Source organism: Homo sapiens, chromosome 5 (genome assembly GCF_000001405.40).
Source record: "Homo sapiens chromosome 5, GRCh38.p14 Primary Assembly".
Taxonomy (NCBI): Eukaryota; Metazoa; Chordata; class Mammalia; order Primates; family Hominidae; genus Homo; species Homo sapiens.
The window spans coordinates 141,015,364-141,034,040 of NC_000005.10; the positions used below are offsets into that span (position 1 = coordinate 141,015,364).

An 18,677-nucleotide genomic window follows, 5' to 3' on the forward strand; every position below is an offset into this window, starting at 1 on the left:
TTGTTTTCCTTTTTTTTCTTTGAGACAGGATCTCACTCTGTTGCCTAGGCTAGAGTGCAGTGGTGCGATCTCAGCTCACTGCAACCTCTGCCTCCCGGGTTCAAGCAATTCTCCTGCCTCAGCCTCCCAAGTAGCTGGGACTACAGGCGTGTGCCACCAGGCCCAGATAATTTCTTTTGTATTTTTAGTAGAGACAGGGTTTCACCATGTTGGCCAGGCTGGTCTCGAACTCCTGACCTCAGGTGATCTGCCCGCCTCGGCCTCCCAAAGTGCTAGGATTACAGGCATGAGCCACCGCGCCCAGCCTGTTTTCTTTTTTATATAAAAACAAAATGATGCCATGCTTGTTGCCCTGTAGATTTTTCTTTTAATTTACAATAACATGAAGATTTTTTTCAGTTCAACTCTACATCACTCTTTTTAATGCCTGTATAAATTCCACATAATGGCCAGATCATAATGTCATAAGGCATTTAATTTTTCTAGATTTTTGCTACTCAAAACCAAAAATAGCACTTGTTCACAATTATAAATTTAGCACCTGAGCTTTATAAAACCTGGTCTAGGTGTATTACAAAAAGGACGTTTGGAAGACTATTATGAACTTTATGTGACTCCCTCCACAATAATCACATTCCTTTACTGGAACTCACTCAGTTCTAGTATTCAACGTTGAATTGTGGCTCTATTTGTAGATGAATGGTGAAAAACAGACATTCACAAGAAAAACAGAAAAATGTTAGAAAGATATGTCTTCATTTACTTATCCAGAATAATTTCATGGGAGCTTCATTTCATCCAAAGACTTCTCCATTCAATCACAGATTGAAATGTATGTATGAAAGAAGAAGTCTCAAAGACAATTCAAATACTTGCTTAGACCTGTGATATTTTAATATAATCTGGTTGAACATTGGGTAGAAAGCAGTCTAACTTTTTTCTAGGTTGTTACATGTTACCTGAGGGTAGACATATTAACTTTGTACCAGTGGAGCTTATTTCATTTTAAGAAAAACAAATTGCTTATCAAGTAATGAATCCAAGACAGCCAAAAATCAAGGCAGCCATTCATGTATTTAAAAAATCTCAGTTACAAAACCATCTGGCTATAAACTTCAGGAAACCTTCCTTATGAAATTATTGATACTATTTTATCCCTTAAATCAGCCTTTCAAGACGTAATTCCAGTCTGGGTTCAGTGGCTAATGCCTGTAATCCCAACACTTTTGGAGGCTGAGGCAGGAGGATTGCTTGAGCCCAGGAGTTTGAGATTACAGTGAGCTATAATCAGTCACATCACTGTACTCCAGCCTGGGTTACAGAGCAATACACTGTCTCAAAGAAAAAAAAGAAAGAACTGCATTCCTAAATCAGGTTTATTCCATTCTCTATGGCTAATAGAATTCATCAGCCAGACACAGCACACATTTCTTCCCAACTGCTGTAGCTTTCCAGATCACCTTCCTCTTGGTCCTCCTCAAGCCTATGATCAATTTTTCAGAAATCTTGGAGTCTGGAAGTCCTAGCCTTCCTTTCACACTTTTCACAGTAGTATGCTAGCTTAGAGCCCAACCAGATATCTGGTAAGTCGGTTCTAGGACATAGGTGGGTGGTCCATATACTTGGGATCAGTAGCTGGGATAGGCAGTGCTAGATTTTTCCTGGGGATGCTTATAGGATGGGGAGGAAGCCTTGTACAGGTTAAACAAATAAAATTAGGATCATTCAGGTACTTTCTTTGCATAGATTTGGAATGATAGGGCCAAGGGGCTATGGAATGAGACCATTTTTGCTGACAGAGATGTGCATTTTAAAATAGATTCTTGGGTTGTGAGTTAAAGAAACCAACACCATCTAGTTTAAGCTAAAAAGGATGATTTATTATAAGGACACAAATTTGTTTCATTGAAACTAAGAATGGGAGTAAGTTTAGGCCTCTGGAACCAGTAACTTGGAAGCCAGAAAAATTCCTTTTTAAATTTATCTTCTCTAATTATCTCTCTTAATCTGTTTCATTCTTCCTGTCTCTACAGATCAGCTCCCTCTCCTTCTCTTTGCCACAGCTTCTAAATTTATACACACTAGGTTCTAGTGGCCCATAAAAACCTACGTTCTGTTTCTTTTTTCTCTTCTTTTTTTTTTTTTTTTTTTTTTTTTGAGACGGAGTCTCGCTCTCACCCAGGCTGGAGTGCAATGGCGCAATCTCAGCTCACTGCAAACTCCTCCTCTCGGATTCAAGTGATTCTCCTGCCTCAGCCTCCCGAGTAGCTGGGACTACAGGCGCTCACCACCACACCTGGCTAATTTTTGTATTTTTAGTAGAGACGGAGTTTCACCATATTGGCCAGGCTGGTCTCAAACACCTGACCTTGTGATCCGCCCACCTTGGCCTCCCAAAGTGCTGGGATTACAGGCGTGAGCCGCCGCACCCGGCCACATACTTTCTGTTTCTAATTCCTAGTTCTAACTTCTTCCTGGAAAGAAAAACTAATTGGATCACCTTGAGTCAGGTAGCCCATCAGCCATGGGCCAGAGGACTGTGGGTAGGAAGGAGAATTCTCAGAAAAAAGGAGATCGGATACTTAGAGACAACTTTAATAGCTTGCTGATAGCTGATATTCCCCAGATACTGTTAGTATATTAAACATCAGTGTATAGAATCTTAGAAACTTAGGGCCCCAAGGAAACTTATTTAACAAATGAGAAAATTGAGGCTCACAGAAAGGGGAATGACTCATTCAATGTTACACAGCTAGTCAATGACAAGGCAGCTATTCTCCTGTTACCACTCTACTGCACAGCTAGAGGCCACCAGGAGTGAATGACAATACTCATTTCATTATATGTTTGAGAGCCAAAAGTAGTACAATTTAGGGAGGTCATGTTAATTTTATATAGAGAGTAGTATTTCATTGTTATATATGTTTTATTAATCTTTTTATTCAAGATGAAATATCAATATTGATTTCCCTTTATTGATTCTAAAAGTAAAACAAGCTTTTATTTTTTTAAAAAATAAAATATACAGATGTCCAGAATTTGGAAAGTAGCAAGTGAAGTATCTCCTGAGAGGCACCATTAAGAGTTTGGCATCTATTTCTCCATTCCTTTTTTCATGCATTTGTAACTGGGTGCTTGAAAGGACTCAATAAATAGCAGCCTTCTCTCTTGTCCAGGGTACTGAATTAATTGATAAATAAGACAAAAGAATGGCATCATAAGGCAAAAATATTCCTTTTATTAATAATAAAGATGTTAGAGAATGTAGATTAGTGTGAGTGCCAAATGGGACTGCTAGATGAACCCCAGAATTAGTCAAATTTTTAATCCCAGTGTCTGGCAAGAAAGACAGTGTTGAACAGAAAAGAACTATTATTCCCAGCAGAAAGCTTAACTCCAGGAGGAAAAGAGGCAGTGCTGAGCCAAGTATTAACCATTTATTCTTACCCAAGTTGCCAATCAAATACGTCCCTAAAACCTCCTGAAGCAGAGTGAATAAAGGGGTATGGAAAAGTTAAGAGTGTGACTCCAAGTTCCCTTTGCGTACAAGAGAGCATCAAGAGGGAGAAGATGCATTTTTCTGTAAATATGTATATAGTTTTTAAAGGATCATACTGGTCTTAGTTTCTGTAACTTGCTTTTTTTCCACATAAATATAAATCCTTTTAATTATTTATATTAGTATTTCATGATATAGCTATAGTATAATTTATTTAACTAGTTCTCCATTAATAGACAATAAAGGTTTTTTCAAATTTTTACTACCATGAATAGTCTTTTACCACATTTGGCATGTAAGTCCAGTTATTACCTCAGGATAATTTTCAAAAAGTAGAATTACTAAGTATCAAATATATACATTAAACTTCTTATATATATATTTCAAAATTGGCCTCTGGTAATGCAGTATACTCTTGCCAAAAGTTTATGAGAATTTCTTCTACACCTTGCCCAACACTGGATCTTAAGAGTCTTTCTCATCTTTGAAAACATGATAATCAAAGGATTATGATTTAATTTGCATTTCTTTACCATAAAAATGCACCTTTTTTCCATCTCTTCCATCAAAAGATTATGATTTGACTGATCTGACTTATGGTGTCAACTATTTACCAGAATACAAGGTGCCTTTAAGTATCTGAGTAGCAAATTTGGCTTTAAAACAGTGTGAAAAATTGAGTGTTATTTGGCCCAGTGGATATATTAGATATATTACAATGTGTGATCTCAGAATCAATGTTCAGTCCATATATTCATGCAATGGATAATTACTGTAATAAATGCAGACTTGACATTTCAGTAGAAGGAACATAGTGCATTAGGCCTGTGTCCCAGAGGGCTTGTTGGATCAGGAGCTTAGAAACTATCAAATACAGTAGGCCAAATGCCTTGGCTCTAGAGCTCCCCCCTTCAGTCCTCATAATGGCCAAATAGAAGGGTGCAAGATTTTGCCATCCATACTTTTTGGAAAAGGAGCCAACATATCATTGTTTTTAGTTTCCTGGGTACCTTAATAGAAGTATGATTAACTCCCCATATAGCAGACCTCAAGCCTGCTTTACGGAGTCTTAGATCTATTGAAAGATTTGGTAATGCATGTTAATAATACCAACAAAGTAAATTTTGACACTAATGTCTAACTGTATACAGAAAAGATAATTGAGTTGAAATAATTAGTATCTATAAAGAGCTTAGATCAGGGTCAGGCTCAGGGGAAGCACTAAATAAATATAAGCCATTTTTTAAAAGTTGACAATATGGCACCTGAGCCCATTTTGAGTGATTGAGGATCATTTTCTGTTTCTTTCTCTTTCTTCTCTTTCCTTCTCCTCCCAGTTCCCCAATTCATCCTCTTTCCTATACTCTTTCTCTTCCCCATTGATTCTTTCTACCCACCTCACCATTTTTTTCTCTCTTTATGATTCTTTTTCTTTACCTTCTTCCCATACTATCCTTATTAAATGTCTTTGTAATCTACTCATCTCCAGTGAGAGTCAGGTTATGGTTGAAATTCTCAATAACAACTAAGAAAATCAACAATTAAAAAAATTAAAATTGACTTAATGTTTAATTAGGTAACAATTTAATTTTTCCAATTCAAGGCATTTCATATGGGCCATATGAAAACACAAGTTTACTCTTTTCTGAGTATATTTGTATGCCTTAAAAGTAAGTTGATAATTTTTTCTCTTCCATTTTTAGAGTTTATACTGGATACTTTCAAAGTTACTTTTATTGTAAGAAAACATATGTTGGCTGGGTGTGGTGGCTCATGCCTGTAATCCCAGCACTTTGGGAGGCCAAGGCAGGTGGATCATCTGAGGTCAGGAGTTCCAGACTAGCCTGGCCAACATGATGAAACCCCTTCTCTAGTAAAAATACAAAAAATTAGCCAGGCATGGTGGTGGGTGCCTGTAATCCACCCACCCATTGAGGCAGGAGAATTGCTAGAACCCGGAAGGCAGAGGTTGCGGTGAGCCGAGATCATGCCATTGACTCCAGCCTGGGCAACAAGAGTGAAACTCAATCTTAAAAAAAAAAAGAGAGAAAAGAAAGAAAGAAAAAACCACGTGCATCTTAGGCTACTGATCAGAGAAAGGAAAAGTGTCTACAGAAACTTGATTGCTTGCAGAAATGACTGTTCCCTTCTAATTAAGAAAATAAAAATCACATAATTTTTATTTCTTTTTCACTTCTTTCCCTCTTTGCTTGTCTATGGAGTCAGTGAGAACACAGAGGGCTAAAAGGAGAAAACTTAGAAATGCAGGTAGGTTGAAGGCAGACAAAAGAGTTTTTACCCATACTATACAAAACCCAAAAATATCAGTTGGATTAAATAAGTAAATATAAATTAAACCATAAAGAACTAGAGTAAAACAAAAGTGCATGTCCATTATGGGGAGAAGGATTTTCTAAGCTTAAAGGCAATAAATTAAAGCACAAATAATGGAATAGATTTGATTACATAAATTTATTTTATATCCCCAAATTAAAAGGCAAAACATTGCCAAAAATATTAACAGAAAGTACAATAAAAGATTATTTGAATTACATAAAGAAATCATACAAATAGATAAGAAAAATACTCAAGCTCCAAGACATATGAACAGATGATTCACCAACCAATTTTTAAATGTTGAGGAAAATGTTCAACTTCATTAGTAATCAGAAGTAGAAACTTGAAACAATTAGATACCATTTGTTACTTATTACATTATTAAGAAGTTTGAAAAATTCCAATTTTTAGTTCTTATAAAGATGTGCAGTAACACTTTCTCTCCACTCCTTTTTCCATTCTTGGGGAGCTCTGATGACTTGATGTTTCTAGCCTTTCTATACCGGATCCCTCTTTTTTCGGGGAAAATATTTACCCGGTAAATGAACTGAAAGGGTACACCGGGCATGCATAAATCATTCCTGTTCTCTTTTCTTCTTCTTGGATCAAACTCTTCACCCGGAGCCCCTGCTCTACTCCTGCTGGTGTGACAGGGAGGCCTGCCCTGGGTTTAATTCTGCAGGTCTGTAGAAGATGCATATTTGCCTGGAGATACAAATATATTTCTAATATGAGATTTATTAGTGATAAATAGGATATTTTGGTCTCCATTTGCCTTCTTCTATGTTTCATACCTCTATTGCTTTAAATATTGGCTTCAAAGAGGAATATTATTTATTAATGACCATCAAAATTCAACACTGTGCCATTGTGTACCCGAAGCGTTAAAGATGTTTAAAGTGTTTTCTCCATTCCTGGAAATTACATTTAGACAAAGCCATATGCACTAATATCTTCATTATATTTTTATTAGTAATGATATAATAATGGTTATGAACCTATGCTCCATGTACTAATGAAGTTGTCCTTAAAAGGCAAAAATCAAAATGTAAAAGAATATACATACTTCAATTATTCAACCAATATTTTTTAGCAACTATTATGAACCAAGTACTTTGCTATATAAAGTAAAATACAAAGAAAAAAGACTGGGCCAGACATAGTGGCTCATGCTTGTTATCCCAGCACTTTGGGAGGCCAAGTCAGGAGGATTGCTTGAGAAGTTTGAGACCAACCTGGGCAACATAGTGAGACCCCATTTCTAAAAAAAATTTTTTTTAATTAGCTGGGCATGGTGGTGTATCCCTGTAGTCTCAGCTACTTGGAAGGTTGAGAAGGGAGGATCCCTTGAGCCCAGGAATTCAAGGTTGTATTGAGCTATGATTGCACAATCCCACTCCAGCCTGGTTGACAGAGTGAGACCCTGTCTGAAGGAAAAAAAAAAAAAAAAGAAGAAGAAAGGAAAAGAAAATAAAGAAAAAAAGACTAGAAGGAAATATATCAAAATTCTTAATGTATATTTTTAAGTAGTGGTACAAAGTCTATATCTTCTTTCTGATTATACGCATCTTTGTGTCTTTTAAAATTAGCATGTATTACTTTATAAAAGGATATACACCTTCAGAATATATAGAAAAACACCAAAAATTCAACAACAAAAAACAGACAGCCCAATTCAAAAATGAAGGTTGGGAGTGATGGCTCATGCCTGCAATCCTGGCACTTTGGGAAGCTGAGGCAGGCAGACGGCTTGAGCTCAGGAGTTCAAGTTCAGCCTGGGGAACATGGCAAAACCTCATCTCTACAAAAAAATACAAAAATTAGCTGGGCATGGTGGTGCACACCTGTAGTCCTAGCTACTCGGGAGGCTGAGGTAGGAGGATGGCTTGAGCCTGGGAGGCAGAGGTTGCAGTGAACCAAGATCATGCCACTGCACTCCAGCCTGGGCTGTAGAGCCAGACTCTGTCTTAAAAAAAAAATGAGAAGGACTTGACTAGACATTTCTCCAAAGAAGATATACAAATGGCCAATAAGCACATGAAAAGATGCTCAACATCACTAATGATCAGGGAAATGCAAATTAAAACTACAATAAGTACCATCTCACACCCAGGATGTGGTTGGCTACCACATATCCTTTTGATGGTAGCCATTTGTTTTGTGGATAGCTACTATCAAAACAAAACAGAAAATAACAAGTGTTAGTGAGGGTATGGAGAAATTGTAACTCTTGTGCACCATTGATGGGAATGTAAAATGATGCAGTCACAGTGGAAAACAATATGACCAATCCTCAAAAAATTAAAAACGAATTACCGTAGGACCCAATAATTCCACTTTTGGGTATATACCAAAAATAATTGAAAGCAAGGTCTTAAAGAGACATCTGTAAACCCATGTTAACAGCAGCATTATTCACAATAGCTTAAATGTAGAAGCAACCCAAGTGTCCATCAATGGATGAATGGAAAAACAAATGTCATACACATACAATGGAATATAATGCAACTTTAGAAAAGGAAGGCAATTCTGGCACGTTCTACAACATGAATGAACCTTGAGGGCATTATGCTAACTGAAATAAGCCGGTCACAGAAAGACAAATACTGTGTGATTCTACTTGTATGAAATATTAAAGAAGTCAAAGTCATAGAGACAAAGAATGGCTGTTGCCAGTAACTGTGGGGAGAAAGGAATAGGGAATTATTGTTTAATGGGTACAGAGTTTTAGTTTCACAAGATGAAAAGAGTTATGGATGAATGGTGGTAATGACTGTACAACATAATACATACCTTTAATACTACTGAACTATACATTTAAAAATGGTTAAGATGGTTAATGTTATGTGTATTTTACTACAATAAAATATTGAAAAAAATTATATGCCAAAATAAATTCAAGAGGAAGTAAAACACATACACCAGGAGACAGAAAGAGAAAGAGAGAGAGAGAGAGAAATAATATAACTATTAAGAGCAAATGTGGTGTAGCAGTTAGGATTAGTTTAGGTTAGCGTATTTTTAAAATATTCAAAATAAAAGTGACTTAAATATGGTAGCAATTATATTCCTCTCATAAAAAGAAGCCTGGACGTAGGGAGTCAGGGCTGTGGAGGTAGCTTTACTGTGACATTAAGGATCTAGGATCATATCTTCTATTCTGCCCCCTTAGCCTGGAACATTGGCAAGGTCTCTCATAGTTCAATATGGCTGCTAGATCCAGCCGTTTCAGGAGCAGGAACAAGAGAAGGAAGTCTTTTAAGGTTTCCCAGAATTCCCACCCCACATTTCTGTTTATTTCTCACTGGCCAAAAGAAGACAACAAAAATTACATGCTCACATGGTCACAACCTGATGCAAGGATGTGACCCATTAGAAATAAGCATTCTGTATCTAAAGAGGGCAGAATATTGGAGTTATAGCCTCTGCAACAAAATGGGTGAATTTTAAAATGTGGCACATATACACCATGGAATACTATGCAGCCATAAAAAATGATGAGTTCATGTCCTTTGTAGGGACATGGATGAAATTGGAAATCATCATTCTCAGTAAACTATCGCAAGGACAAAAAAACAAACACCGCACGTTCTCACTCATAGGTGGGAATTGAACAATGAGAACACATGGACACAAGAAGGGGAACATCACACTCTGGGAACTGTTCTGGGGTGGGGGGACGGGGGAGGGATAGCATTAGGAGATATACCTAATGCTAAATGACGAGTTAATGGGTGCAGCACACCAGCATGGCACATGTATACATATGTAACTAACCTGCACATTGTGCACATGTACCCTAAAACTTAAAGTATAATAATAATAAAAAATAAATTTAAAAAAAGGTTAATTTACCGAAAAAAAAAATCTCAAAGTGGGGAAAGATTTTATAAGAATAACAGAATACTAAGAAGTTATAGAAGAGAAAATATTTATTTTGCATATATAATTTTAAAAATTGCATTAAAAAATCACCATGAACTAAGTCAAAAGACAAAATATATTGTTATTTATATCATAGAAGAGGACTAATTTCTATACATATAAGTAATTCCTACAAATTAATAAGAAAAAGCACAAAGAAATATAAAATAACAGCAAATGGCCAAAAAGAAGTAAATGCTCAAAAGGGTTAAATAAGATAAATCAAAATATATTATATATTATAAATATTTATTACATACCTATCTAATATATTATGTTTATATTAGAAATCTTTATTAGAAATATAAAAATAAAACACGTTTGACAGTCCTTTAGAAACTAACAGTCTAAAAATGAATTCAACTGCCTAGAAATGGGAAAAGTATACTTTAAAGAAACAAAAAACAAAATTTCCTGTGTGCGGTGGCTCATGCCTATAATCCCAGCACTTTGAGAGGCCAAGGCGGGTGGATCAATTGAGGCCAGGAGTTCAGGACCAGCCTGGGAAACATGGGAAAAACCCTCTCTACTGAAAATACATAAATTAGCTGGGCGTGGTGGCCTGCACCTGTAATCCCAGCTACTCGGGAGGCTGAGGCACAAGAATCGTGTGAACCTGGGAGGCAGAGGTTGCAGTAAGCCAAGATCGCGCCACTGCACTCCAGCCTGAGTGAGAGAGTAAGACCCTGTCTCAAAAAAAAGAAAAATTATTTGGAAAACATTAAATAAACCCAGTCCAGTTTATAAGACCTATATACACTAGAGCAGTGGTTATTAGTCCTGGCTAAACCTAGAATTACAGATACAGTTGCCAGATTTAACAAACGAAAACATAAGATGTCCAGTTAAATTTAAATTTCAAATAAATAGCAAATAACTTTTTAGTTTAAGTATGTCTCATGCAATATCTCCTATACAATATTTGGGACATACTTATATGAAAATATTATTTGTTTTCTCTAAAATTTACATCTAACTGATGTTTTACACTTTATCTGACAATGCCTGGGCTCTACTACAAGCCAAATAAATCAGAATCTCTGGGGTTGTGGCCTGGGCATTGTTTTGAAAAACTCCCCAGGTTAGAATCACTCGATGCATAGCTAGGATTGAGAACCACTGCTCTAGAAAATGATAATTTTAGATGATTAATTAGGGTAAATTGGCATCAGGAGAATTGACTTTAGGTGAATTGGTATCAAGGTGAACTAAATTCCTGTCATCATCTTAGCATGTTATTTAACAAAAGCTTGTTCATCCCTCTAGGTCCATATATCATGTCCTTCTAGGAACCTAATCCATTTTGTAATCATTACTTACAAGGTCCCACTTTGAATTTGGCATCTGCCTCTGGCTGCCTTCTTTGCATAAGTGAGGTCTCTTCTGAGAGCAGTTTGCTTGTCTTGCATGTTAGCCAACGCCTGGAATTGAAGATGTGAACATGCTTATCTTGAAGGTTAAAGTTGAAGCGCCCTGGTTTCGAATCAGCAATGACTCGGAAGTCCCTTTTAATGCTTTCAGGCAGTTTTATTTTTCACTTGCATAGATGAGGAAATTGTAGGTAAGAATAATTTGATGAGTTTTAGGTGTTACGGACATAACCAAAGGCAAATTCAAGTATCTTAACCCTTAATAAATTAAGTTGGTTTAAGAAAAGATATTATGGTGAAAGTCTCCAATTTTGGTAAGTGTTGTTTATAAAAACAGGTAGACAAACTTACATCTCCAGACTTCTTTCAAAACAAAATGTCACCTTAGAGCACTTCTTTCTTCTTCTGTGCAGCTAAAGTGCTATCTGTCTCCTCATCAGTTCCAAATGACCAATGTGGCAGAGAAGAATGGGCTGTTATTTGATGCCAAATTGAATCTGCAGAGACTCAGTGAACTAGGACCAGAGAATTATTACAGTGACTCAATATGTGTGTGTCTATTTGTGATTTTTAACATTGATAGTAGCAAGGCTTACTTTTAATTTCCTCTTAAATATTAGGCTGTTTCAAAATGTCCACAGTTACTGATTAGGCCATTGTGTTTCTGATCTTGGTGATAAAAAGTAGCGAATTTTTAAACTTAAAAAAAAAATTCATTTGGGAGGTTCTAACTGAACTTTCCATATTTCAAGAGTACCCATCCTAGCCACAGGAAAACATGAATATTCTTCAGCTCAGAGCTAAATTTTAGTCATGCTTATCGCCCTTTGGTTTTCTCAGGCCACTGCCCCATGTGAGAGCTAGCAGCATCAGCAGCACAACTATCATCCCAATATTCTGATCATCTGAGAAGCAAGGGCTTCAGGAATGGATTTGTTTTCAAAAAGCGTACAAAGCCAGAAACTTGATTCCTCCATTTATGGATAATATCCAGGACAGATGGAAAGAAACACACCAGACAGCAAATGCCCTTGTCTCTGGTCTCCATATCTGCATTGGCACAGGTCAAACACAGTCTCTATGTGGCCCTGGGCTTAAAGGAAAACATCAGTTTTAGCTAAGCGAGAGCCCCAGAATTCAGTATATTTGTGACACGATCCAAATCCTTCACCCCCAACTTATAGCCTTACCATCACTATGTGACCATCAACATTAAGGTCGTGGTTTATGCCAGTTTCCAAAAGTTCAGAACTCCCCGACCATCTCCTTTCACTCAGAGAGTAAATCCCATGTTGTTCTGTAGATTTTTTTTACGCTATTTCTATCTTTCCTTAACTCCTGAAGCCTTTGTATTATGCCCTGTGGTCAGTCATTAGCAAAATTCCCTATGTTTGCAGCCTCTTTTCTGAAAATTTGCTGTCTTTGTTTAAACCGAACACTGGTTCTCCCTAAGGAGATTATTTCCATTATTCTTCTCAAAATGTAGCTGTGATTTTTCCTTAGCCTTTAATCCCACTGGGCCTAGAAGTAAGAAATTATCTTCCCTGCTCCTTCCAGATCATCCTACCACTTGCCACTTCTGTATCACCCTACCTTGCCCCCCACCTTGCCACTTCCAGATCTCCCTATCTCCCTTCTGCCTAACAACATTCAGCTTAGAATCTCATGCGGTCAAATTTTAACACCCACTACCTCTCCTTGTAGCAGTCATCTCCTGATCCCATGTCACTCACTGTCATTTCTTGATGATTTTACCTGCTGGCTCAATATCTTCTCTAGTACTATTCTAAACATAATACTTGGTGATTTCAATATCCACATAGATGTTTCTTCTAACAGCCTACCTTCTCCATTCCTTGACCTTCTCTCCTTGAATTACCCAGTGCTCTACTGACCTCAGCTACCTACTCCCATCTAAGGTCAAATATCTTTATGTTATCAGTGACTGCAACACTTTCCTAATTTCTAAGTATCAATTTCAAGCATCAAACTTTCTAATTGCCCCCTACAATTTTCCCAGCTTACTCCCTCTAAGACCCGAAAATAATGCCAACCATTCCAATACATAAAATCTATTAGTCCTACCATCTTTTCGTCATCCCTACCACCTTCATGTCCTAATTCTTTTTATCCAGTGAAAAGTCTGGGGTCAATCATTATAATCACTGCATTTTATATACCTTAAAATCCATGATCCTCCCTCACTTTAATATACTTGCTTATAAAAATCCGAAGCTTCATAAATCAAAAACTAGATTTATAAATTCAAAGACTTGTAAACCTAAAACTTTGCCCACATCAGGCTTGTATTCACATATGTTAATGTAGCAGGAGAAAAACATCACAATATTGCTAGCTGTTCTTATTTTATATTTGTGATTACAAATCTCAAGTGGCCCTTAACGTTGTCTGGCAATTATATAGTATTTTCCTAGCCCATTTACTCTCTCGTCTGCATCCATCCTACCTTGACCAATTCCTACATTCTGATGTCTTTCCAACTTTCAGCACTCCTCCCACTCCTCCATCAGTAGAGCATCTAACTTCAAATAAATTTGATAAATGAAGTGATCAGAGGAGCTGCCCATAAGTCTTATCTCATTGACCTACTGACCTGCCTTTGTTCTCTTGTACTGTATGTTATGTTCTGTGACTACTAGATGAACTCCCTGTGTCATGTACTCAAGGACATTGCTTTCTACCACCACTGTATTATCAATTTTCTCTTTCCTACTGGATCTTTCCCATCACCATACAAGCATGTTGTTATTTCTCACATCTTAAAGTAACTATTTATTGACCTCGTTTTTCCTTCCAGCTACTGCACATTTCTCTCTTCTTTATACAAAAAATTCCTTGAAAGTGTTCCCTATACTGACTATCTCCAATTTCTCCTCTAATTTCTGTTTTATAGTTTAAAAATTATTACATTATATTATATTATATTATGTTATATTATATTATATTATATTATATTATATTATATTATATTATATTTTTGAGACAGAGTCTTGCTCTGTTGCCCAGGCTGGAGTGCAGTGGTGTGATCTTGGCTTACTGCAACTTCTACCTCTCGGGTTCAAGTGATTCTTATGCCTCAGCCTCCCAGGTAGCTGGGATTACGGGTGCACGCCACCATGTCCGGCTTATTTTCGTATTTTTAGTAGAGATGAGGTTTCACCATGTTGGCCAAGCTGGTCTTGAACTCCTGGCCTCAAGTGATCCACCTGCCTGAGCCTCCTAAATTGCTGGGATTACAGGGGTGAGCCACTGCAACCGGCCCAAGTTTTAAGATAATTATATTTAAACAATTAGTACTCATAGCTACTTGGCTGTAGGTTCAAATGACTTCATTTGAAACCACTATTCTTCATTTTAGAAATTAGTACTTGGCCTGAAAAGATCATTGCAATGCTCAATTTTATTTATTTTAAAAAGTTCAAACCTATAGAAAAGTCAACAGAATAGTAAAATAAACCTCTATACTCCTTTCATCAAGATTCACCATTTAACATTGGCCACATTTACTTCTCTCTTTCTCTCTCCCTTAACCTTTCCTTCCCTGTCTCCCTTTCTGTCCTTCACTCTCTTCCTTCCTCTCTGTGTAATTTTTGGTGTATCATTTCAAAGTATGTTTTAGACATGACACATCACTGCTAAATAAAGCAGCATACACTTCCTAAGAATACGACATTCTCCTACATAATCATGATGGCATTTTCTTTTTTATTTATGTTTCATTTATTTATTTATTTAAGACAGAGTCTCACTCTGTCGCCCAGGCTGGAGTGCAGTGGCGTGATCTCAGCTCACTGCAACCTCAGCTTCCCAGGTTCAAGTAATTCTCCTGCCTCAGCCTCCCAAGTAGCTGAGATTATAGGCGCCCGCAACCATGCCTGGCTAATTTTTGTAGTTTTTTAGTAGAGAGGGGGTTTCACTATGTTGGCCAGGCTGGTCTTGAACTCCCCACCTCAGATGATCCGCCCGCCTTGGCCTCCCAAAGTGCTGGGATTAGAGGTGTGAGCCACCGTGCCCGGCCTGTATTTGATTTTTTTCTAGATTCTCCATATAAGTGAGATCATGCAGTATTTCTCCTTCTGTGTCTGGCTTATTTCACTTAGTATAATATCCCATAGTTTCATCCATGTTGTTGTAAATGGCAGTGTCTCCTTCTTAGGATGGCTATTATCAAATAGACAAGAGATAGCAAGTGTTGGTAAGAATTTAGAGAAAAAGGGACACTTGTACACTGCTGGTGGGAATATAAATTGGTATAGCCATTAAAGAAAATGGTATGGATATTCCTCAAAAAATTAAAAATAGAACTACCATATGACCCAGCAATTCTTCTCCTGGATGTATACCTAAAGAAAATAAAATCATAACCTCATAGAGATATCTGCACTCCCATGTTCATTGCAGCATTACTCACAGAGCCAAAGTATGGAAACAACTCAATTGTCCATTGGCTGATGAACAAACAAAGAAATGGTGATACAAATATATGCCATGGGATATTATTCAGCCTTAAAAAGGAGATACTGCCTGAAGTGTAATTTTTAGAATTGCTTTAGTGTATGGTCTGTTGGTGGCAAACTCGTTTTTTGGGGTCTGAAAATGTCTTTATTTCATATTTGCTTTTGAGGTTTTTTTTGAGATGGAGTTTGGCTCTTATTGCCCCGGCTGGAGTGCGATGGCGCGATCTCGGCTCACGGCAATCTCCGCCCACGGGAATCTCCGCCTCCCGGGTTCAGGCGATTTTCCTGCCTCAGCCTCCCAAATAACTGGAATTACAGGCATGCACCACCACGGCCGGCTAATTTTGTATTTTTAGTAGAGACGGGGTTTCTCCATGTTTATGCTAGGCTTTGAATTCTAGATTAACTTTATTTTATATCAGAACATTGACAATATCATTCCATTGTCTTCACGTTCCTCTTTTGCTGCTGAGTTCATTCTCAGTCTGTCACTACTTTATTTACTATTTATTTATTTATTTATTTTTGAGACAAAGTCTCACTCTGTCACCCAGGCTGGAGTTCAGTGGTGCAATCTCTCTGCTCACTGCAACCTTCACCTCCCAGGCTCAAACGATTCTCCTGCCTTAGCCTTCCAAGTAGCTGGGATTACAGGCACTGGCCACCACACCTGGCTAATCTTTGTATTTTTGGTAGAGACAGGGTTTCACCATGTTGGCCAGGCTGGTCTTGAACTCGTGACCTCAAGCGATCCACCCACCTTGGCCTCCCAAAATGTTGGGATTACAGGCATGAGCCACAGCGTCCATCCTATTTTTTAAATTTTTTAAAAAAATTTACCTTTCCTATGGTGCTGAAGTCTGTCACCACTTTAAGAAATCTCTCTTCTATATCTATTTTAAGATAATCTTTCTCATTTTCACTGTCCTGCAATTATACTATGCTATATGTATGTGATTATTTGTTTTTATCTTATATGAGATTCATTTGGTTTCTGAATTTGTGATTTGGTATTATGAAAAATTCTAATTAATTATCTCTTTAAATGTTGCTTCTACTCCTCTTTTATCCTTCAGAGACTGCAATTATACCTATGTTTATCATTTCACTCCATTTTCTATGTCTTTTAAACTCTTTTTATAATCTCTATCTTTTTTCTGTCTTTCCTACAGTCTGCCTGTCTTCTAGTCTATTATTCTTTTTCATTCATGTCTGATTTGTTCTTAAACCTACTAACTGAATTTTAAACTTTTATTTATTACATTTTTGTATTTGTAGTTTTATGTGCTCTTCATCCAAATATGCTTGCTCATTCCTCATGATGTTTTCCCTCTGCTTATTTTCAAACTCATCTTTTATTTCTTTAAATATATTAAATATAATCTTTTTATATTGTATTCAATAATTTCATTATCTGAAGTCACTGTATGCCTGCTTCAGTTGTTTTTATTTCTGCTGGATCTCAATCTAGTATCTTGTGACATTGGTTTTTTTTATGGTAAATCGCTCACTTTCCTTAGAATTCTATATTTAGAAATTATTTGAAGCCTGGGTTAAAGGTGGATTATTCTAGAGATAATTTGTACTTGCTTTGTCCAGGCTCCAGGGGTACTACAAGTTTGAGATCAACATAAAGTTATATTTTCAACTTGAAGTTTTGTTTCTTTTCCCAACTATCCATGTCTAGTGAATACAAGCTTCAAAACTACATGAGAATAAATAATATACCTATGTACCCACAAAAATTAAAAATTAAAAAAATAAGATACAATATTTCAATTAAGGAAAAAAAAAAAACCCTACATGAAAGCCACAAGCGGTTCCAGATCCCTAGTTGTGATCCCTATTCCCCACCATCCTGCCCCTACAGTTAGTCTCAGGAACAGTCAGATTTTTCAGCTAGGGATTTTTGGTAGTCCCTGGGTGGAAGTCATATCTAGTTCACTTAACACTAAGTTATATTCATCTCAGGGTCTCTCCTTTGATGAATCTCCTACTAGACTTCCTACACTAGTTGATTCAAAATCTTTTCACCTGGTCTTTGTGCTCAGGATGCGAAAACTGAAGCTCAATTACTGAACATTGGAGACGAATGGATATGAACCAACTACGGATACATGCAATAAGGTGGATGAATCTCAAAGCATTATGCTAAATGAAAAATGCTAGCTGCAAAAGGTACCTACTGTGTGACTCCATTTAAACAGGGATAGAAATCAGATCAGTTTTATCAGAAGCTGCAGGTGGGGTAAAGGATTAAATACAAAGAGGCATGAAAGAACTTTTCGGGGTAATGAAAATATTCTATATTTTTATTGTGGTGGTAGTTAAATGACTATGTATGTTCGTCAAAACTTGTCAGACTGTACCCTTAAAATAATGAGTTTTATTGCATGGAAATTGTATCTTCATATACTCAAATGTAAATGAAACCAGCTGAATACACACACACATGTACATGTGCACATACCAGAAATTCAAATGTATCCAGTCCTATAAATATCCCAGCTGGTATCAGTGATCTGATGATCTCTCCAGTTCCCAGAAAGCAGAAATTTTTGTCAATCATTCACTGCTGTATCCCCAATACCTAGAACAATCCTAAAATGTCATAGGTCCTTTATAAATATTTATTGACTAAACAAATGGATTTCTAAGCAGTGGCCCTCAAACTTTTAAAGATCAAAAGCACTTTGAGGCCAGGTGTGGTAGTTCATACCTATAATCCCAACACTTTGGGAGGCCAAGACAGGAGGATCACTTGAGGCCAGAAGTTCAAGACCAGCCTGGGCAACACAGTGAGACCCTGTCTCTACCAAAAACAAACAAACAAACAAAAAATTAGCCAGGTCTGATGGCAGGCACTTGTAGTCATAGCTACTTTGGAGGCTGAGGCAGGAGGTTCGCTTGAGCCCAGGAGTTCTAGGCTGCTGAGCCATGATCATGCCATTGCACTTCAACCTGGGCAACAGAGTGAGACCCTGTCTCAAAAAAAAAAAAAAAAAAGAAAAGAAAAGAAAAAGAAAAAATGAGGAACAAAGATATTATCATAATGAGAAAAGCACTAGA

General features: G+C 37.1%; 1 long non-coding RNA gene across 1 annotated transcript; it reads right to left on the reverse strand.

The window, feature by feature from the left end:
- LOC124901090 (uncharacterized) lies at positions 5,953-11,181 on the reverse strand. The gene is made up of 2 exons (XR_007058970.1): positions 11,081-11,181; positions 5,953-6,541 (listed from the first exon to the last, which is right to left on the reverse strand). It is a non-coding gene; the product is annotated as an uncharacterized LOC124901090 (long non-coding RNA).